The sequence below is a fragment of the Homo sapiens genome, chromosome 18, assembly GCF_000001405.40.
Source record: "Homo sapiens chromosome 18, GRCh38.p14 Primary Assembly".
NCBI lineage: Eukaryota > Metazoa > Chordata > Mammalia > Primates > Hominidae > Homo > Homo sapiens.
Window position 1 is genome coordinate 37,159,204 of NC_000018.10, and position 23,548 is coordinate 37,182,751.

General features: G+C 37.5%; 1 protein-coding gene across 24 annotated transcripts in view, besides 2 other annotated features; it reads left to right on the forward strand.

The window, feature by feature from the left end:
• The window catches only part of KIAA1328, a 403,046-nt gene that overhangs the window by 330,077 nt on the left and 49,421 nt on the right, over positions 1-23,548 (forward strand). For 23 of the 24 annotated variants that reach the window (NR_136303.3, NR_136304.2, NR_136305.2 and 20 more), the window contains 2 exons: positions 997-1,178; positions 13,770-13,878. Coding sequence is in view for 21 of the 24 variants with exons in the window: in XM_047437678.1 (XP_047293634.1) it covers positions 997-1,178; positions 13,770-13,878 (291 nt within the window). In the remaining 3 variants the exon portion in view is untranslated. Of the gene's footprint in view, positions 1-973; positions 1,179-13,769; positions 13,879-23,548 lie in introns of those variants that run through there. The other variant, XM_011526100.4, reaches the window with a different exon arrangement.
• Positions 6,203-6,703: an enhancer, noted in NCBI's record as "H3K27ac hESC enhancer chr18:34745369-34745869 (GRCh37/hg19 assembly coordinates)". NCBI's record gives its function as "activates a minimal SCP1, AML or CMV promoter by ChIP-STARR-seq in naive H9 embryonic stem cells {active_cell/tissue: H9 hESC(naive)}" and the evidence as "EXISTENCE:reporter gene assay evidence [ECO:0000049][PMID:30033119]".
• Positions 16,563-16,857: a silencer, noted in NCBI's record as "tiled region #1146; HepG2 Repressive non-DNase unmatched - State 24:Quies". NCBI's record gives its function as "represses a minimal TATA promoter and a strong SV40 promoter by Sharpr-MPRA in HepG2 cells {active_cell/tissue: HepG2}" and the evidence as "EXISTENCE:reporter gene assay evidence [ECO:0000049][PMID:27701403]".

A 23,548-nucleotide genomic window follows, 5' to 3' on the forward strand; every position in this document is an offset into this window, starting at 1 on the left:
CTAAAAATTCTGATCGATATAAACCAGAGACATTTATAGAAGATTATGTGATTTGAATCCTGGTCAAAGGCCACCTGGAGTAAGTGATAGACCTGGCAACACTCCATTCAGCTTGTTCTTGTCTAGAGATTCCCTTTGCTTCTGGGGAGTTTAAACGTTTTAATTTTAGAATCTTGTTTTTTGAGTAGCTGCCTCTATGCATTTCCATGTCTTTTTCTTTAATTTTCACATTGTTTATGGGCATGGGGAAGACAAAACCAAAGTGTCATGAGTTTGTTGTGAACAAACACGAAGAGGGAAGAGTGGAATAGTGAGAGATAACACATCATTAGAATATTTTTCCCTAAAATAAGAAAATATTATAAGAGGAAATATGCTAATGGTGGGAACACGGTTTATTAGAGAAGAAAATATGTACATGTGTTCATTTTCATTAAAATGCCTTTTATTCTATATTTGTCTTGTTGACCTTTTAATGAAACTATGTAAGTATGGAGTCTAGTTCTTCTACGTGCACTGTTACACTACTCCTTACGTACTCTGGGTACATAATAAATACTAATAACAATTGAAAATTAGAAACACAAACGCGTTTGTGTGAGGCACATTGGTGATATTTTAATCCCTAGTGTTCATTTTTAGTACTTGGAAAACATCTTAGATATGCAAGTCCTGTTTTAGCATACTTTTTATTTCTATAGATAGCCTGGTTCTTAGTCATATTCTGTGACTTTATTAGCTGTTTCATCAGTTTGAATCTTATTTCCCCAACTCCCAGTGTAAGCTTTTTGAGAATAAAGGCCATTTCTTTTCCAAAATTGTTGTGACAGGACACAAAATAGACGTTGAGTAAATTATTTAAATTATACCTCAATAAAAGGTAAGATAAAGAGAGTTCTTAATGAATTGCATTTCAACCCATACTGAATTTAAATATCTATGTGCTCTGTGTTCCCTTCTGTGCCTTCAACAGTTCATTCATCGTTGTTCTTTCAGTTTATTGAAGTCAAACTGTGATGGCTGGCTGCTTGGAACATCATCATCTATTAAAAAGCACCAAGACCCCCCAAACAGTGGAGAGAATAGGAAGGAGAGGAAGACAGTTGGGTTTCATTCGCATATGAAAGATGATGCCCAGTGGTCATGTCAAAAGAAAGATACATGTAGACCCCAAAGAGGTAAGTTTAACAACTGTAGTGGCAAAATGAGAAACTGGTAGGGGAAGGTAGTTGCTAGCCAATGAATTTCAGATGATTTCCTACAATGCTGAGCAAAAGTTAAATGTTTACACACTGAAGTGTGCCTGCAAGGCCACAGGTAACACATTTACTAGATTAGTGAATTGTGTCTGTGTTTTTCTTAGAATACTGGAATGAAAAACTGTATCCAACTTGTCCCTCTTTTTGCAAGCAATAACTGTTAAGAATTAGTCAGCAGTAAGTATGGTCATAGACTAAAATAATGTTCCAAGTGAGTAAAGAGGGCAAGATATTGAACATAAATCTCTCCTGGAAAAATAAACCCTAACAACTACAGTTAATCCTCAATTGACTGGAAACATGGGGAGGGTGGAGGAGAGGTCATGGACAATTCCCCATATTGTGACTAAAGCAAAACCTCACAAGTCTAAAGCATTTTTTGCCTAACAGTCTTTTAAGTGTCAATAATACTTCCTGTTATATGTGGTAGACTTTAAAGAAATCAATTATAAGTAACTATGTTAAATGTTGAGTGAAGCAAATTTATTTGTTTCCCAGTTGTTCCTGGAGAGGCTTTTGGCTTAATCTTTCCTGGCATCCTTAAAGGAACGACTTTGGAAAAGAATGGAGCAAGTCTGAGCTTTATTGTACAGAAAAGATGTACAGGAAACAAAAGACCAAAAAGACCTCTGAGCCCTCTCCTGCTCACACCTCTTTCCTAGTGTCTTTTTTCCCTTCTCAAAACCATTAACCCAGATTTCCTTCTTATTTACCTGTTTTCCTACTGGGCCAGCACCTTTCTACCTCTGGTGTCATGCAACCTACTTTTCATAATCTCTGTAGCCACTCTCACATTTATTTATTTGAAAATTGGGCAGTGCTTTGTGAGATCTTGCAGGTGTATATCTCCCTGCCTCTCTTCATCTGCTACTAGCTCTGTCATGCTTTTTGGGTTTGATTGTGATTAATCTAGAAATTGTTTAATCCTCTTCCACATAATTGAGAAATGATAATTAGTTCAAATTTTGGGAGGGAGGACTATCCACAATTTGAAATAAAAGCAAAAGTACATTTTGTTAGACATAAGGCAAAGAAAGGTTTTGTAGACTTCCATTGTTTTAGAACAACTTAGAAGCTTCTTTTTAGACATTGCTTCCAAAAATAAAAATTAAATTGAAGAAACTTTATGAGGTAGAATCTTTACTTTCTCTGTTAGCAGTCCTTCAGAAATGGAAAACTCTTACCTCAGCTTCCTCTGTTCTTAGTCATTGCACTTTGGAGAGTGAAGAACTAGTCACAACTGGTGTGGTGGTTACACTGCAAGGCTTAACATAGTCTTCAGTTAACTTGTTTTCAAATTTGTGTTGCGTGGCAGCACTAAGATAAAATGGCAAAATGAGAAAAATATAGTGGAATAGCAAAAGAACAAATAACTTGTGTTATTGGTTAAAACCACAGCAACAGTAGAAAGCAGCAATTGAAAAGGCACTTTGAGAAAGATATCATCAGGCCAGCCCTTGCTGTGGTGGAGGTTAATCTCTCCTGGGCCTAGCTACAGAAGCCAGAAGCCTGAAAAGGTCTTGTGTCCAAAAAAAATCAATTTCTAATTTGAAACAAAATCATTTTTGACTAACAGGGGTTCAGAACCCATTACTTTTTGCTGTATAGTCTGCTGACATTTCAGCACTTTCTGTTGTGCACAATGAATCCTAATAGTCATTTTATAATGTTGCTATACCAATCAATTTAACCAAGAGAAAGCTGTTACAATTCTGCAAAGTTTTCAGGAATAGTTTTCACTCATGGTTTTATTTTTTCTTCCATTAGGTTTTTTTTCCCCTTTTTTTGTGGGGGTGGGGGAAGGTTGTAGTGTTGCAATAAAAAAAAAAAAGAAACTTTTTCATCTTTTTAAGAGTTTTTATTTTAAGGCATTCACAGGAACTACTGACTTTCTTTTCTACTCATGAAAAAGACCGCCTTGTATTTTCCTTTTCTTTTATTCTAATATGGAGCTGTTAGCAAAATTATTATCTATATGACCATTAAAGAGGCTAAAGTTGCCCCTTTGAGCCATTCTGCCCATTGCACAGCTAGTGTATGCAGATTATAGTACAGGGCAAAGTTATTGCATTGGCATTTGCTGTGGCACCCAACCAAATGGGAGATATAAACTTTCCATGGATGCACAGTAGACTTGGAAACCCTGTTTATCATAAGGCTGATGACCTAGCACTAATCACCTAAGTTACACTGCTTGGTTCATCACCTTCTTAATTGCTTTACCCTCTTTAGTGTGTCTGAATTTTTTAATATACTTTTCTTCTGTCTTACATCTTTTGTTTCTTTTGCTGTTATCCTTTACTCATTAAGTACTACACAGGACATTTACTACAGGACCATTAATCTTTATTACCAGTATCTTACTCCCTTACCTCTCCTATCCTCCTCACCATTCTGCCAGCTTTATGATGCTAAACATGTTAAAAAAAAAAAAAAGACCAGACTATTGTCTCAAGAAACAACCTTACGATAGCAAAGATATGTACAGTATTGTCAAAATTACACTTAAGATATATAGACTTGTTCATCAGTTTTAGTTACTTTTATTGAGCAATGTCAAACAGGGAGATAATACTTGGGAAAATCTAAACTTGAGTAAGAACTTTTAAAAGGCATAAATCTGGAAACACCTGATTTTCATTCCTCTTTTTTCCTCCCTTGTAGCCTCAAAACGTTTTCCACCAGCTTGCCTAGAACCCCCCTTTCCTGAGCAATCATCGATATTCCCTTTTATGAGAGCCCTCAAAACTGAGGGCATTTTTTTCTTGTTATGTTGATGGGCTAGCAGAGGCTGTGAAGCCACTGAGTGCGCAGTTTTCAGAACTGAAATGTTAAACCTCTGACCTTGGCACTGCCCATTCCTAAGTCAGGCTGTAAAACCTGACTTTGGCCGCTCCCTTCCTCCTTTTTGTTCCTCCTTCTTGAATCTCTAAATTCCCTTAAAATGTTGGCAGAGGCTGAACCTAGGGTAATTTTGATTTACCTGATGGTAGAGATTGTGCCCTTCATTTTGTCTTTGGGGTTTTCTTAGGTTATATGATTTTATATAGCAGCTGCCACTGGTTGAGGTCCCCTAGTAACTCCCAAACACATATTTTTTTTTACTGGAAGATGATTATTCTAGACTCAAGTAAAGAATAATCTCAGAAGCTCCTAGTTGTTCCTCTAAGTGAGCCTGTGCTTAAAATGATGTGAGTACTCTTCATAACTCCAGATGGATTAAAGTAGGTGACATGCTTAAAGAAATGAACAATTGGAGTGTCCAAAGTACAGAAATCATTTCTATCTTGCCTCTAAGGAGCATTTCTCATGTTTCTTTTATTATTACCATCAAGAGCATTATTATTTGTTCATCCATAAGGGTACCTTAAGATACTACTTCTGATTCCCAGAAATCTCAGCTGAAGATATGCTAAAAGTTGATGTCTTTATCAACAGCACATAGTATGCAAGCATAGTAGAGGGCTATGAATAAACCCAGATATGTAGAATAAATTCTCCTGGCTAGTCCACTAAAAAAAGGAATTCAAATATAACAGACTAGTGTTAAGAGTTAATGTTAATATATATGAAATATTGTCACCTAAACCAGAGGGTCTACATTTCCCATTCTCTAAAATGGAAAGAAATTTCTCAAAACACTATATAGTTTACTTTTTTATTATATATGTTTTGTATCTTCTCCGTCAGAATATAAGTTCCATATGTTCACTGTTGTATCCCCATCTCCTACAACATTGCTTAACATGTGGTGTGGTAGGTACTCATTAAACATTTGTTGAATGAATTAACATAACATTGTATATATTGATTTTTCTTTCGATGCCCTTATCCTGTTTCCCCAAAATAAGGACCTACTCAGGTAGACTTTTTCACCTCAGTACCTGCTGTGATTTAGTGATTTTAAGCAAAATATATGTTTGTCTCTTCAGAGTTCTTATGGTGATCAATTGGTAATGTCAAAGAGAAATCAGTAGAGTGGGCTCTTAAAAATAGCACTGGCTGGGTGTGGTGGCTCACGCCTGTAAGCTCAGCACTTTGTGAGGCTGAGGCAGGCGGATCACCTGATGTCAGGAATTCGAGACCAGCCTGGCCAACATGGTGAAATCCTGTCTCTACTAAAAATAGAAAGAGTTAGCTGGGTGTGGTGGCACATACCTGTAGTCCCAGCTACTTGGGAGGCTGACGCAGAAGAATTGCTTGAGCCTGGGAGGCAGAGGTTTCAGTGAGCCGAGATCACTCCACTGCACTCCAGCCTGGGTGACAGAGCAAGATTCTGTCTTAAAAATCAAAATCAAAATAAAAAAGTGCTGCCTTAGGAGTCAAGAAAATATGGACGGGGAGGGTTCTATTGTCTTGTATTCTAATTGAGGTTTAATGTATATACACTAAATTGTAGAGGCCTTAAATGTATAGTGTGATAAATTTTGAAAATTATGTACACCCGTGTAACCACTACCCCAATTAAGATATAGTACATTTCCATTTTCAATAAATCCTCATACTCTTTTCTAGTCAATCCTCCTGAAGCCTTTCCTCTTGGGTTGCTGATGGCTGCCTTCTCACTGCATCCTCACATGGCCTCTTCTGTGCGTGCATCCCAGGGAACGCTTCCTCTTCTTATAAGGACACCAGTCACTCTCAGGCCCACCCCTATGACCTCATCCAACTTAACTACCTCTTTAAAGGTCTTGTCTCCAAATATCGTCATATTCTGAGGTGTCCTGGTCTTTAGGACTTCAGATTAATTAGGGAAGGCACAACTAAGTCCATAACAACCACTTTCTTTCTAATTTTTGTGCCTTAGACCATCTAGGGGTTTTATTACAATATAGAATACAATGAGAAAAGTAGACTTCCATGCCTTGTTCCCAACCTTATAAGGAAAAGATAGTCTTTCACCGTTAAGTATGATTTTAGCTGAAGGGTTTTTTTTATTTTTATTTATTTATTTATTTATTTACTTATTTTTTTGAGAAGCAGTCTTGCCCTTGTTGCCCAGACTGGAGTGCAATGGTGCTATATCGGTTCACTGCAGCCTCCACCTCCTAGGTTCAAGCAGTTCTCCCGCCTCAGCCTCCTGAGTAGCTGGGATTACAGGTGTGTGCCACCACACCCGGCTAATTTTTTTTTTTTTTTTTTTTTTAGACAGAGTTTTTGATCTTGTTTCCCAGGGTGGAGTGCAATGGCATGATCTCGGCTCACCACAACCTCTGCCTCCCAGGTTCAAGTGATTATCCTGCCTCAGGGTCCCGAGTAGCTGGGACTACAGGCGCTCACCACCACGCCCGGCTAATTTTTTGTATTTTTAGTAGCAACAGGGTTTCACCATGTTGGCCAGGCTGGTCTCAAACTCCTGACCTCAGGTAGGCACCGCGCCAGGGCAGATGGAGGCTTTTTGAAAATGCTCTTTATCGGGCTGAGAAAGTTTCCTCCTAGTTTGCTGAAAGTCTTTGTCATAAAGGGGTGTTGAATTTCATCAAATCTTTTTTTCTGTACTTACAATCATGTTATGTTTTTTCTTCTCAGAAGGTAGTTTAATGATTACACTGATTGGGAGATATTGGGGTGGTAATTTTTTTTTTTTTTTTTGGTAATGACCTTGTCAGCTTTGGGTATCAGAGTTATGCTAGTGTCATAAATGCATCAGGAAACATCAGTGGAAATGGTGTGGTAGGTACCTTCAGGGCCTCATCTCTCCCAAGAAACACTGAAAAATCTTGCAAAAACTGTCAGAAGCTACCTTATCAGAACTCTGGAGGATAGTGAAAGATTTACAGAAACAAAACCAATTCTTAGCCAGGAGAAAGGCTACTGAAGCATTGTAGGAGGACTTTAGTGTTAACTTAGTCTTGCCCTACCCCAAGCTTTTCCCAACCCGCAGCCCGTGGGCCATATGTGGCCCAGGACAGCTTTGAATGTGGCCCAACACAAATTTGTAAACTTTCTTAAAACATTATGAGATTTTTTTGTTGTGATTTTTTTTAAGCTCATCAGCTATCATTAATGTATTTTATGTGTAGTCCAAGACAGTTCTCCCAAGGTGTCCTAGGGAAGCCAAAAGATTGGGTGCCCCTGCCCTCCCCTCTTCCCAGCGTGTCAGCAGTCTAAAAGATGGCAGCCTGAGTTCCATGTTTTAGTATCTGCCCTCTGAGGAAGCAGAGCAGACCCTGTTCTCAAGGGATTGTTTCTCTGTTTTAACCTGTCTGTGGATTCCCTAAAGGGCTGACACATGGAGCCTGCCTTTGTTTTGTCTGACTAAACTTTCTCTGGGCAGAGAGTGGCTACATATAGGACATTCCTTGAAAACACTGAAAATCAGATGAACACACCACTGGCACCTGGGGTTTAAAAAAATAAATAACAATGAGGCAAACAATAGACACATCAAAAAGTCAGATGATCTAGAATAAATAGAAGATCTAAATAGACCTATATAACAAGTAAAAAGATTGAATCAGTAATCAAAACCTCCCAACAAAACAAGCCCAGGACCAGATGGCTTCACTGATGAATTTTACCAAACATTTAAGGAATTAACACAAATTCTTCTCAGACTCTTCCAAAAAATGTAAGAGGAAAGAATATATCCTAATGAAATGGGAAAAGTTCCCCTATCTCCCTCGCAGGTTGTGTAATGGGGGAGTGGCTCGCTTCTTCAGTGCCCTGCTGCTCAAACCTCTAGGGGGAGCATGCAGATGGGCAGGTTGTGGGGCTCTGACCACATGGCAGTGTCTAGGGGTAGATGTTTACAGCTCCTGAAGCCCCAGTGGGCATTTGCTGCCGTGTGCCCTTTTAGTTTTGCCGTCTATAGGTGGCTCGTGTTAACCAGCTCAATTAGACCCTCTACCTGTTGCAAGGACAGAGGGCTTTCTGTATCCCGGGTTCTTGCCTTAGTGTACTGGAAAAACTGGATCACACGTGGGCTTGGAGAATGAATGCAAGGTTTTATTTAATAGTGGCAGTAGCTCTCAGCAGTTGGATGGGGTGTCAGAAGGGGGATGGAGTGGGAAGGTAGTTTTACCCTGGAGTTGGGCTGCTTAGTGGCTGGACTCTCTTCCAACCGCTTTGGCCAAATTCCCCTCGCTGTCTGCATCGTTCCACCGGTCAATGGCCTGCCAGTGTCTGCTGGTGCCTGTTGGTATGTTCTTCCGCTCCTCTCGATGTCCAGCTGCTTGTGTGCTCTTCTGCCGGTGTGTTCCTCTTGATATCCAGCAGCTTCTGTCCCTTCCTGCTAGGGTCTCGGGGTTTTTATGGGCACAGGATGTGGGGGTGGCAGGCCAGGGTGGTCTTGGAAAATGCAACATTTGGGTGCCAAGCAGGAGTGCTTGTCCTCACCTTGGTCTGTGGGCACAGGCCCAATGGTGGAACCCTCACCAGGGACCCTGCCCTTTTCATCCCTGCACTTCCCTGCCCCCCTCCCTGATATCAAAGCCAGAGACAGATGTCACAAGAAAAGCAAACTATAGACCAGTATTCTTTATGAGTATGGATGAAAATATACTTAACAAAATACTAGCAAGCCGAATACAGCATATTGAAAGGATTATACATCATAACTAAGTGAGATTTAGCCCAGGAATACAAAGGCAGTTCAACATACAAAAATCAATCAACGTAATACACATTAATAGAATGAAGGAATAACCACATGATCATCTCAGTTTACACAGAAAAAGCATTTGACAAAATCCAACATTCTTTCATGCTATCTGCCCAACTTTATAGGAAATTGTTTGTTGACTCTGCCATAGTAGGTCACCAAGGACAAGGAGAGGTATTGGAAGAATACACATGAAAAGTTGTTATAGGACAGAACAGAAGTGGCACATATAATGTCCACTGGCTTTCCACCTTACCACACGTAATTACAAGGAGGATTAGGGAATATAATCTAGCTGTGTACCTAGGAAGAAGGAAGGAGTACATTTTGGTGGATAACTGACAGCATCTGCCACAGCAGCATTCTTCATAATAGCTCCAAACCAGAAATACTCCGAATGTCCCTCAATAGCAGAAGGGATAAAAAGTCATAAATGCATACAATGGAATACTACTTAGCAAAGAAAACAAAGAAACTGCAGTACATAAAAATTATCAGCATAGGTAAATTTTGCAGACAATTTAAGCAAAGGAAGTCTCAAAAATAATATACATATTTCTAAAGTTCAAAAGCAACAAAACTAAATGACATGTTTAACCAAACACATAAATGGTAGAACTATAAAGAATAGAAGGAAATAATTATTAGAATAGTTGGGGCCCCTGGAGGCAAGAAGGAATTGTGACTGGGGATGGATATTGGTATTGTATCTGGGTGGTAGTGCTGCCAGGGCTTGCTTTCTTGAGCTGGGAATGGGTTACACTGGTTTTGTCTTTATAATTTATTCTTTAAACTGAATAGATAATATGGCTCAGCCGTTTAAAAAATATAAAATAAAACAAAGGGCCCAGAAACAGAGTTTTCTTAAACATTGAACTCTAAGAAAAAAAAATTGCCGTGAAATATACCCAGTTATATCTAAATAGGACATGATCCATTATAATCAATTCCATCTGTGCATGTGAAAATATATGTGCGTGTTTATGTAAATGCATTCACATATATTACATGTATATAAACATACACATTTATGTATGAAATCAATTAGCCTAGTAATATTCTTAACAGCATTTTATTTATTTATTTATTTATTTATTTATTTATATTTTTTTTTTTTTGAGACAGAGTCTGGCACTGTCGCCCGGGCTGGAGTGCAGTGGCACGATCTCGGCTCACTGCAACCTCTGCCTCCTGGGTTCAAGCAATTCTTCAGCCTCAGACTCCTGAGTAACTGGGATTACAGGTGTCTGCCACCAGGCCCAGCTAATTTTTTGTATTTTTAGTAGATATGGGGTTTCACTATGTTGGCCAGGCTGGTCTAGAACACTTCACCTCATTGTTCACCTGCCTCGGCCTCCCAAAGTGCTGGGATTACAGGCCTGAGCCATGGCACTCTGCCAGCATTTTTATTTATTTTTAAGCATATGTTGTTATTGTGTGTGTGTGTCTGTGTTTGTGTGTGTGTGTGTGTGTGTTTAAATATACAGGAATATAGAGTTCCATGAATATGCATAACTGTAATTGTTGGTATACTTAATATTAAATAAAATTTATAAATGGAACAAATACAATTAAAAGCTGATGTATAGCTTTCTGGAAACGCAATAAGGAATAGAACTTAGAGAATTAATAAAAAAGAACAGTTAAACTTGGTCTGTGCTTTACAGCAATCATTCTTATCCTTTTCAGGGTCCCATACCCTTTCAGAATTTGGTAAAAGATATGGTTTCTTTCTTCAGAAAAATAAATGAGCACACATATATACATTGTTGTGCCTTACAATTATGAGGTATCTGTACATTCCTGAAGTACATTCTTCAATTATAAAAATCCCTGGACCATCTGTTAAAATTCCTTCTTTAAATTGTCCCCAGGTATTCTGTGATAGTGACCAAAAATATATTTATATTCTGTCACTACCAAGCATTTCTTCTTCCCTTTCACCTCACTCACAAATCCCTTTCAGTTGTTTCTACTCCTATTTGTCTGTCTTAATTTCCTCTTACATCACCCAGGATTCTACCCAGACAATTGTATTAGTAGTGAACTGCTTTGCCTGACTTTGTTCTATCTGTTCCACTCTATTCTAAATTCTGCCTCAAAATTAATCTCTCCAAAGACCAGTTTGGTATTTTTTTAATCATTGTTGTTACTGTTTTATTTTTGAGTCCCTCTAAAATAATGCTTACAAGTTTGCCATACAGAGCCAAACAGACCTTGATTGCATTCAAAATCCAGCTTTGCTCTTACCAGCTGGGTGATATTGGACATGCTGCTTGATCTTTTTACAATTTCCACTTCCTTATCTATAAAATAAGTACACTAATATAATTTAAAGACTGTTGTAAGGATTAATAATGAGATGATACATTTAAAGTGATTAGCAGGGTACAAGGACATAGTGATGTTCAATAAATATTTCCTGACTAAATGAAATATTTAGCCTTGAGGTTTTCAGTTTAATGCTTTTGCTAATGTAACTCTCTGTCTCCCATTTCATGCTCGTCATTGTTTCCTATCAAAGAATCCTACCTCCTGCATCAAATGTTCCCCAAATCCTATAGCCAAATGTGAACTCTCCCATTTCTTAATTCCTCAGACTTTTCATAGTACTTATTACAGCAGCATAGCATAATGGCCAAAGCTCTCAGGTCATCTCGGACATAGATACTAGCTCCATCACTTATAGCTCGGTGACCTTGGGCAGATCACATAGGCTCTTTATGGCTTATTTTCCTTATCTGCAAATTTGTTATAAAAATATTATTTCAAAGAGTTTTTATGAAAATAAAAAATAATTTCTAAAAAAGGTAAAACAATAGAGATAGAGAGGGGGCTAGGACCAGACTAAGGCCGGGAGCAGTTATTACCTACAAATGGGCAAGAGGGAACCTTCTGGAACAAGGAAATATTCTAAAACTGGATTTTAAAAAGAAATATCTAAGTACCATGCAAATTTAAAATAAAAACTGGCTTGTAGCCATGCTTTCATAGCTATATAAAGTTACTATTTATCAAACTCTACAGTTAAAATGAGTAAATTTTATGATACTCAAATTATACCTCAATAAAATTTATATATACACTAAGCATATAGTATGTGTTAGCAGTTACTACCTTATACTGCCTTGTGTTATCTGTGGTTTTGGTTTTGTTTTTTTCTTGAGACAGATTCTTGCTCTGTTGCCCAGGCTAGAGTGCAGTAGTATGACCATAGCTCACTGCAGCCTCAACCTCCTGGGCTCAAGGGATCCTCCTGCCTCAACCTCCTGAGTAGCTGGGACTAGGACTGCAGGCACATGCCACCACACCTGGCTAATTTTATTTTTTATAGAAACAGGATCTTGCTATGTTGCCCAGGCTGGTCTTCAACTCCTGGCCTGATCCTCCTGCCTTGGCCTCCCAACGTGCTCAGATTACAGGTGTGAGCCACTGAGCCCATCCTCTATGTCTCTTTATGTGATAGTCAAGAGTGTCTTGTGTCCTTACTCTCATACCTTCCTTTCCCTCCCCATAAACTAAGCCTGAGCTTAATCCTGGCACTGGCCAGTATTAATATGTACTTGTTTGGGTTGAGGGTACCACAGATTTCTATATATAAAGAAGAATGAATTGTGCATTTAGAGGCTGGTCTTTTACATCTACGCATAATAGATCAGTGGGACCCTGTCTCTACAAAAATAAAAATAAAGAATTAGCCTGGCATAGTGGCACACATTTGTAGTCTCAAATACTCAAGAGGCTGAGGCAAGAGGATCACTTGGGCCCAGGAGGTCGAGGTTGCAGTGAGCTGGGATTGCACCACTACACTCCAGCCTAGTGATAGAGTGAGACCCTGTCTCAATAAACAAACGAACAAACAGAGTAGAGAATAGTTGACATAAAGAGTATAGTTTTTGAAGCCAAGGATAATGGTGATCATTTTGACGCTAATCGCTATAGCTGTAAGACTCTAGCCTTCTCTATGCCTGATGATTTCAGGTTGCACGCAACCTGTTGCCATTCCCAAAGTTAGCATACTGCACTCCTGGCATTTTAGGGTCTGGTATTCCCAGCACTCCAAAGCTTTTTGTTATTTGAATACTCTCCTTTTTGTCAAAGAGTGGATCTTCCCAAATAACTTCATGCATCCCGGATAACAGTTTTCAGAGAACCAGAAGAAAAACTGCATGTGATTCTTACAGTCTTCCAAGATAAATATAGCTATATTTTATGTTGTTTAGAAACTAATAATAACTGAAAAATAAAATAAAAACAATATTTCTGTCCATACCATCTTTTTATTTAGCACTCCAGAAGAGAAAAGTAATTACAAACTAAACATTGCTTGTTGGAAAGGAATTGAGGCCAAGTCAGGCAGTTCCTGGGAGGATAAACTATTGCTTAGGAACTTTCCCATGGCACTCGAATGAATATTAGTTGAGCATCTCTTCCAATTAAGACATGTGTTTTAGCCAATGTTGAGTTCTCTAAAAGAAACTTTCAAGACTTATATATATCTTGAAAGTGTTTTAAAGAGGATCAATTTAATTTGGAGGGTTTAGAGTTACAAAGTGCTGGAATCTTTCTTATGAAAGTTAAAGGGAGCAAAATAAAACATCCCACCTCCTTGGGCATTTTCACAGTAAACCAAGATCAGCAGGGCTTTGCTAGGCAATCAGGTTTAAAAACAAAATCTCTAGTTACTCTGTCACTGCAAAAATGTATTTTCTTAAAGCGCATTATAGATTTCCCATGTTTACAAAACTGAAGTGAGTTTTTCATATGCCATTGTTACATTTCAGGGAAACAAGTGGCTTACCTTTGAAGCTTGGACATTCCTATAATGTCTTATAAATTTACTAAGAGTGAACTTTTCCATTTTCTTTTACTGAATGCCCAAATTATTTTCTTTATTTTTCATATAGGGACAGTGACAGGAGTTAGAAAAGATGCGTCTACATCTCCTATGCCAACAGGAAGCCTAAAGGATTTTGTCACCACAGCCTCACCATCATTACAGCACACCACCTCCCGGTAAGCTTCAGAGATTCTTTAGTTTTTAATATTCTCCCTATGAGAGCATTTTTTTGAAGTTTATTTAATAAGGAAGGGAAAAATCTTGACAACTCTTAGTAATTCTTTCTCAAGAGAGGTCCTTCTTTTGAAGCATCTAGATTTGGCCAGTTTGAACCACATGGAGTCCTTTTCTTTATACATGCACTTTCTTAGTTGATCATGGTAATGTAAGGGCTTCCATAGAAACCTAAAGCTAAACCTATCCTTCACCAGAAAGTCTGTTTAGCAGCAGGGCTTTCCTAATTTATCACAGAAAAGTTATACATTTAGACTATAAGTTTAACTAGCTGAAATCATTGCTATTGAACATTATAGTGGCTTTTGTACTAGTTAAAGGAATACCAACATTAACTTAAGACCAGACACATTTGAAGGGTTAAGCATTTGATCAGCCTTTTCTGGAGTCAGGGAAAGAAATATCTTATTTTAAATTTCCCATGTCTAATGAACCAACTCCCACATTATGCAATTAAGGCTGAATATGTAAACGTCAGTACCAAAAGGGCTTGGTTTATGTTTCTTCAGGGATATGATTGGTTTTGAGCACTTAAATTCATAGCAGCTTATCCGATGAATTGAATATAAATGTTAAGACTTAATTTGTAGTTAATTTGAAGTCCATTGGCTTTGCAAAGTAGAAATGCCCAAATTACAAGTCTCAAGTCTGATGATTTTAAAGATGTGCTCTAAAATTTATTATTTTGGTTTGAGGTAATTTCAAAGGGAAGAGAAAGATTATTTCTTCCTCCTCTAAAAAGTTGTATTCCAGTCCAGTGCCTATAGATATGCTGTTCCACAGAAGCCAAACCTAGGAAACAGTGTGTTCATCGTATTTTGGCTCTTTTTGTCATTCCTTTAATTCTGGAGCTAGAAAGGTAAGCATCTTAAAGAACTTTTGAGAAATGACTCCAACACAAAAGATAATAACAATAGCTACCATCTATTAAGTATCTGCCATGTCCCTAGCACCTTGCCAAGCCCTTTATATGCATTGTCTAATTTAATCTTCACAACCTTATGAGGTGGCACTATTATCCCCATTTTTAAAATTAGGAAACTAAAGTTCAGAGATATTGAAGAACAGTCTAAGATCACATAGCTAACAACAGGCAAAGCCAGCATTTCAGACTCCAAACCTCGTAATCTTAAATATTGTAACAGTTGACAATGACAACCTCTCTATTTTGGAGGCCACACACAATCAAAAAGAGAATTTAACTAGTTTGCCGCATCCTTTCACTGTTGCTGCTTTCTTCCTTTTTTTTTTTTTTTTTTTTTGAGATGGAGTCTCACTCTGTCGCCAGGCTGGAGTACAGTGGTGCGATCTCAGCTCACTGCAACCTCCACCTCCCGGGTTCAAGCAATTCTTCTGCCTCAGCCTCCCAAGTAGCTGGGACTACAGGCGCCCACCACCACACCCGGCTAATTTTTTTTTGGATTTTTATTTTTATTTTTATTTTTATTTTATTTTATTTTATTTTATTTTTTGAGACAGAGTCTCGCTCTGTCACCCAGGCTGAAGTGCAGTGGCGCAATCTTGGCTCACTACAAGCTCCACCTCCCAGGTTCACGCCATTCTCCTGCCTCAGCCTCCTGAGTAGCTGGGACTGCAGGTGCACACCACCACGCTTGGCTAATTTTTTGTATTTTTAGTAGAGACGGGGTTTCACTGTGTTAGCCAGGATGGTCTTGATCTCCTGACCTTGTGATCTGTTTTTTTGGTATTTTTAATAGGGACAGGCTTTTACCATGTTTGCCAGGATGGTCTCGATCTCTTGCCCTCATGATCCGCCCGCCTTGGCCTCCCAAAGTGCTGGGATTACAGGTGTGAGCCACCATGCCCAGCCGCTTTCTTTTATTTTTAATGCTACTGTTGTTGGCATTCTTCCAAAGATCCACAATAAGTTGTGTTTCTGAAATGTTGATGGAGCTTCCTCTTTGGATCACTTAACGTTGTGGCTGAAAGCTTGTGCTCAGAGGGTTTCCATCCTAGCTCACCTTGAGGGATTCATTTGGAGGAATTAGAGGTAAAGAAGGAAGATTATCTGGATTTTCAATCTTAGTGAATTTTCCTATTGTTAAAGATTAAAATGAGATCTTTAACACCACTTTAATATATTGTTTTTGATGGTTGCATTTCAGTTTAGAGGGAAGTATGAAAAAATGGAATAAAATGTTGCCCCAGTAAGAGTTTTATAAAACATCCTCAGCACACATTTTTGGAATGGATCATATCAACATTGTAGAGTTTTACAAGCCCAGGTTAAAACTGCTGTGAAGAGTCATATTTACAGACTTTAAAAAAGGATTATCTATTTGTCCTTAATACTGCAGATCAGCTAAATATAGATTCTCAGAAGCTTCCTATGTAACGAGCATTTGGCTTAATAAAACAACATGTAGCACACCATATTTTATCTTTAGAAATGCATGATGACATCATACAGGTCTCTTACACGAATTGCAGAGTTAAAAAAAAAAAATCAGAGTACTATGAAAATCAGTTACCAAGAAGGCATAGTGGTGGCTTTCCAGATTTCAGAATCAGGATTATTTGTACTGTTTTTATTTCAAAGTGTAGAAAAGACATTTTTTTAAATAGACTACATATCAGTCACATGCAAACTCTTAATGTAAGAGAAGAGCCTATTGTTCTTTATCTCAACAAACCTTTGAAAGTACCAAAGGGAACAAGAGTAAAAGCTCTTCCCCTGTCCACCTTAAATTCCAAGAATTTTCAAGACCTGCAAACAAGGATGGGGGTGAGACAGATGCCAGTGGGAGACAGGTTTTCCTTTGTTCTCTGAAAATACCTAGAAGAGTTCCATTTCATTCCATGTGCAGGTGAAAAAAACAGGTGTGGCAGAGTCATCTTTCTCATTCACAGTGTTGGTTGTTAATTGTTCTCACTGCTGGCTGTCAATATTATGTAAAATTTTCATTCCCCATTCAAGATGGAAAAAGTTGTGGCTGAAAATGTTAACATTTGCATTTTTATTTGTTGATTTATTTAAAGGACAACCTCTCCTACAGCAATCCATCACTTGGTGACACCCCAAATATGAATAATGTATTGTAGACTTGCAGTTACAATGTGTAATAAGTGCTAGAGACAGTAAAGGAATGTTAACTATGTTGCAAATATAATATTTATTAACTCATAAAGTTTATTGCTTTTAAGGTTCAATAATACTGACCATAAGACATCAATATCACTTATCCTGATTTTAGCTGGGCACCTTTGTATGTAGAAATATTCATCTATCTCATGCTAACAAAATAAATATGTAATTTACAGCATAAGCAAAGGGGGCATTATAGTTTTCTGTGCTGAAAGCTGCAGTGTTTCTTTCTCTCCATTTCACTTCTGGCTCTCCACACTGATCACACACCCCTAAGCTGCGTAAGAGAATAAGCACAGTGGTCATCTTGGCACAAGAGGGTGGTGAAGCTGAATTAAATGTACCATTCATTTCTGCTTGAATGGAACAAGCAATGCCCCACAGACCACTCCACCTGGAAAGAGGAGTTGAGGGGCTTTCTCCCTGTCATTCTGAACACCTCAGGGTAGGTGAGCCTTGGCTCTAAAAGAAACTTAAATAAATACCTTTCCTACCAAATGAATGAGTCAGAGTTTACCAAGTCTACTTGATCCTTTAGTCTCCAGTGTGAAGCCAGAGCTGGGCAAGTTACCATTTGCTTCTCAAATGAATGTGTTATGAGCACAGATATAACTGATAATTAACCATTTTGTGCCTTCTAGAATTAGGTGTGTCCATTGTCAACAATAAAGATCATACAGGAAATATATAACACTCAAAGCAAAAGAAGTAATGATAATTAGCAACCATCAGCTGTAATTGTCATCTACATTAAGATGCAGAATTATGTATTTCTTCGTTATAAATAGCCTTTCTAATTGTACTTGATGTATGCCAATTTAATCAAAAAGTATACTTGCAACAGGCAGAATTTGCATTAATGTAGCCTTGGATCTTCAGGTCTTTTATTTCAAATTTGACTGGGAAAGAAGGCCTATTACAGCTGTATATCCTTGATATGTTGGTGTCTTTTTCTATTCAGATGTGTAGATCTGATACATTTTATATTAAAATGAAGATAGTATCTTCTGAGATTGCTCAATGCAACAGAAATCTTGTCACCTTTAAAAATATTGGTGGAGTTTGTATTTTTCAGTCATATGGTGACACAGTGATTGTTGGACCCTGATAAGCAGAGGCACACCAGGCCTACAGTAGCAGGATTAGATTCTCAGTCCCTGAAGTAAAAGGTTACTAAGGTCACTTCTTTCTGTTCTTCTATGACTTCTACAAACAGTTACAGCTGGTGCTCTCCCTGTGCCTTTGTGTGTCTGTGTGTAAGATGTGAAGAAAGAAAGGGAGATTTCACCAAATCACGCCCAACTAGTGAATTTTCAGAACTGGAACTGGAATTAGCCTGTTTCTAGGATGTACTGTTCACTTTTTTAGCTTTTTTTTTTAAAGAAAGATGAGTTTTTAATGACAACACAAAAGCGTTAAAGGTTTTTGTTTTGTTTTATTTTGTTTTGTTTCTTTTTGAGTTACTGGTGGGGAGAGGTGTTGATTTTGTGAAGCTTCTTTTTTCTTGACAGGATTTGGGAAATACTTGAGTACATACTTTGAGGGACTTGATAAATTATTTGGGGGCTTTTAAAAAATAGTTTATTTTTATTAATTGACACATCATAATTACACATATTTATGAGGTACATTGTGGTGTTCCAATACATGTATATATTGTGTAATGATCAAATCAGAGAATCTAGCACATCCATCGCCTCATACATTTATCATTTCTTTATGGTGAGAACATTCAAAATCCTCTCTTCTAGTTATTTTGAAATACATTAGGTTAGTGCAAAAGTAATTGTGGTTTTTTTTCTATTAAAAATAATGGCAAAAACTGCAATTACTTTTGCACCAACCTAATAAAATGCAATATTGTTAGCCATAGTCACCCTACTGCACAATAGAACATCAGAACTTATTCCTCCTATCTAACTGTAACTTTGTACCCAATGACCCCTCTCTCCCCATGTCCCCACCTCCCACTCTTCCTAGCCTCTAGTATCACTATCATACTCACTGCTTCTATGAGATCAACGTTTCTAGATCCCACATACAAGTGAGATTGCTTGTTGGAAAGCAATTGAGGCCAAGTCAACCAGTTCAGTATTTGTTTTTTGTGCCCGGCTTATTTCACTTGACATAATATGCTTCAGGTTCATCTATGTTGCCACAAATGACAGGATTTCATTCTTATTTATGGCTGAATAGTATTCACTGTGTATATATACCACATTTTCATTATCCATTCATCCATTTATGGACACTTAGGTTGATTCCATATCTTGGCTATTATGAGTGCTTCAGTAAACATGAAGTGTAGATATCTCTTTGACATACCGGTTTCATTTCCTTTGGATACATACCCAGCAGTGGGATTGTTGGATCATATGGTAGTTCTTTTTGTAATTTTTTGAGGAGCATCCATACTATTTTTCATAATGGCTGTACTAATTTACATTCCGACCCAATAGTATATGAGAGTTTTCTTTCTCCAATCATTGCCAACACTTGTCTTGTCCGTTTGGTAACAGCCATTCTGACAGGAGCAAAGTGATATTTCATTGTGGTTTTGATTTGTATTTTCCTGATGATTATTGATTTTGAGAATTTTTTCATGTACCCGTTAGCCATTTTAATGTTTTCCTTTGAGAAATGTCTATTCAGGTCTTTAACCTATTTTTTTAGTCACTTTATTTTCTTGCTATTGAGTTGTTTGAGTTCCTTATATATTTTGCATAGTAACTTCTTATCAGATGGATAGTTTGCAAGTGTTTTCTCCCATTCTGCAGGTTGTCTCATCACTCTGTTAATTGTGTCCTTTGCTGTGCAGAAGCTTTGATGTAATCCCATTTGTCTATTTTTGCTTTTGTTGCCTGTGCTTTTGAGGCTATATCCAGGAAAGCATTTTCCTGACCAATGTCATGGAGCTTTTCCTCTTTGTTTGCTTCCAGTAGTTCCATAGTTTCAGGACTTACATTTAAGCCTTTAATCCATTTTGATTTGATTTTTGTATCTGATGAGAGATAGGGAGTCTAGTTTCACTCTCTGCATGTCTGCATGTGGATATCCAGTTTTCCCAGCATTGAAAAGACTGTCCTTTTTCCATTGTATGTTCTTCACACCTTTGTCAAATATCAGTTGGCTGTAAGTACATAGATTTATTTCCATGTTATTGTGTTAATAGTTTAGTTTGAGTTTTTTTAAAACCTTGCTTTGCTGTCAACCATATGTTTAATGTGTTCTGAAAATTTTGCTGTAAGCTCATGCCTTGCTGAGCTTTCTATAGTACAGTTGCCTGTGCACAGCCATGCTCACAAGGCAGCTGTTTAAACACAGCTGACTAGAAGGTGGCTTGTGTGATCTTTGGCCCACTGAGACTGAGAGCCAGGAACTAGGCTCAGAAGTATCTGAAACCTGGGACCATACTCTACCAATCCCAGTCTGGAAGGAATCTTCTCTCTGTTGTGAATACATTATTTATTTATCTTTATTGTTATCTTAAGTAACTTAACATGAAAATCCAATTGCTTCCAGCTCCAGATATGATGGCACAGCCTTTAAAGTACCAGAACAACTGATGGTGTTTTTTTCCTTTGCTGGGCCACAAAGAGGATGTTACTCTTGATTCTCTGTGGGTTATAAACCAAGGCTTTAGCCCATTGAGCAGGTCAGACACTATTTCGTTTCCCATATCACACTGCCAGTAACCATTCAAATTGAAGAGAAGGGAAAGTCACATAAATATGATCTGCTTGATTGTAACAGTGATCTATTTTATCTCAGCTACAGAATTCTGGATTGACAGCTGCCATGGGATTCAAAAGCCACACACACACACACACACACACACACACACACACACACACACACACATTTTTATACTGGGAACAAAAATATAATACTGAAATTTATAATTGCCTGTTCACAATTCTTAGCATAGTACTTTAGCATTGGCAGAATGATTTTAGGTACGTTATTTCATTTAAATTGCATCACAATCCTGTGAGGTAAGGTGAGGTAAGTAGTAGTATTATCCGATTTGACAATGAGGAAATAAGAACTAAAGGAGACTGAGTAACTGACCAAGGTCACATAGTAGGAAGCAGAAAAGAAGACATGAATCGAGCTTTTCTAATCGCAACTTTCAAAGTTTTTTCATTCTTCCATTCTGGCTGAAACTTGGATTTGATTCTGACGTGTAAGCACTGAGCTGATAAAATTCTGGTTTTGGGTAGGAATCAGACAAACTTACTTTAACATTGGAATTTGTTTTGTTTTTATAACTTGATAGAAAGAAACTTAGTTACACAGAGAAGTGGAGGTGTTGTAGTTCAATTATGCATAGCAGTCAGATTGCAATATTTGCTTGCATTTGTGTCCAGAATCCTAACAGTAACAAAACCGTTTTTTTTTTAATGAGACTATCTTCTCACATATACATTTACCTAAATATTTTAAACACTCAACCAGGTTTTCTGATGTTCCTAGCAGAGGAAATGATCATGTATTATCCTCCTAGCAGGAGAGAGGAATAAGATAAACTAAGATCACAAACCTCTGCTGGGGTTTTCATAGTAGGTTTGAATAGCAAACCTTGCTGCGTGTATATAATAGAGCATATGAGTGATGACCCTATGTGATGATGGTGGCTATTATTCGTTAAATGCCAGTTATGTATCAGGTATTACATTGGGCATATACAGATATATCCATTTATAATATATGTTCATACAAATTACATATTATTGTCAAGATTTTTAATGACTGTTAAAGCTCAGCTTCAAAATATCAGATAGAATTTATTCCCATTTTTCCAAAATCACTTTTTAAAGTATGAGCTGTAAGGCTGAGAACTGTAATTTTAGCTTTCCTTGCCCTCAGAGTAACAGTTTATTCACTATACACAAAGTAACATTAACCATAACTTTTCCATTTTGAGTATCTTGTAAATAATAAAATTAAAACCAAATGAAATGATGCACATAAATTGATTATAGTAAAACGGACTAATCTGGAAACTTCAGAAAATAATGTATTGAGCATGTAAAAGAAAATATGAAGCTATAAACATGCCTGTCTCCCATGTTTAACCAAGAGGGTAAAAAGCCCAGCCATTCAAAAGGATTTTCATTTAGTTGGGTTGATAACTTGGAATTCCAGGCCACTGCAGTACCACCAAGAACAATAGAATGCATGGAAATTCTTAGGTGTTTGATGAAAAGATACTGCTTTTAGTTAAGTCATGATGTTGGGCTAATACTGTAATTCCCACTGTTAAAAGCCATTAATATAAGAATCCATTCCTCTTATACACACTGGTTTATAGTGTGTAAGTTAGGAAAATAAAGACAAATAGGCTAGGCAGAAATAATAACGATGTAGCAAATTCCAAGAAGTGAATTCAGCTTGAAGAAGCTTGTCAAGACATTCTTACTATAGAAAGAATATATTGTACTTGGGAAAATGTACATTACAACAGCTTATATTTACTACTCACTGAGATAGAATTCTACTCCTTGGCTTCAGGAAATCTTTCTAAAGACCTAAGTTCTGGGTGAGGAGGTTGTAAGAGCTGTTTTACTTTTCACATGATTTTTCAAATGTTCTACAACAATGTTATATTCCATAATTTTAGAAACAATGTTTAAAAAGAAGACAAAGGGAACACATTTATAGGGGACAAACCCATTTCAAAATTTTACACTCAGTAGTTCCAAGTAGTTGCAAAAACCCTAAAGTTACTCTTGGCCCATATGACATAAATATCTTATTTCCTTTGTCAACCCAGCAATAGATGAGGATTATCCTTCCTTGTTGTGTCTTCTCCAGGGTACTGAACTCTGAAAACTGCTATGAATGGTGACATCTGTTCAGTATTGCCAGTTCCTGCTGTCATTTCACAGCTTTTAGCCTCATGAACTGCCATTTTAGAGTTGTTCATTTGGTCCAAGGTTATCAAATTCCCTTAACTTCAACTTTAAGAAATATTTTTAATGTCTCTTCCTTAGGCACTTTAATGCTTTTATAAAAATTACTTTATATGTTACCTAATGTAATCCTTACAACCATAAGAAAGTAAAGCTCCAAGAGACAATTACAGAACAATTAAGAGCCCAGGTGTAATAATTATAACTCTGTGGTTTATAGGCCTAGGTTTGAATGCTAGCTATGTGGCTTTGAACAAATCATTTAATTTAATCTATAAAATGGGAGTAATAATATCTCCCTCATAGGTATGTCATGATGATTAAGTAGGATAGTTTATGTAAAGTACGTAGCACAGGCCTGGTGCATGGCTAAGTGCTCCATAAATAGTAGTTGTCATTATAGAACTTCCCAGGGTCACTCAAGCAATCAGGAACAAGCTAGGATTTGGACCTTGCTCTTGTGATTCCAAACTATAAGTGTATCCCCTAACAAAGAGTTAGGAATAGGGTTAGGTTCATCTCAGAGGTGGGCAGTTTGATTATATTTTTTATATTGACCTTGCAAATATGCCTGTTACTTTACCTCCATTT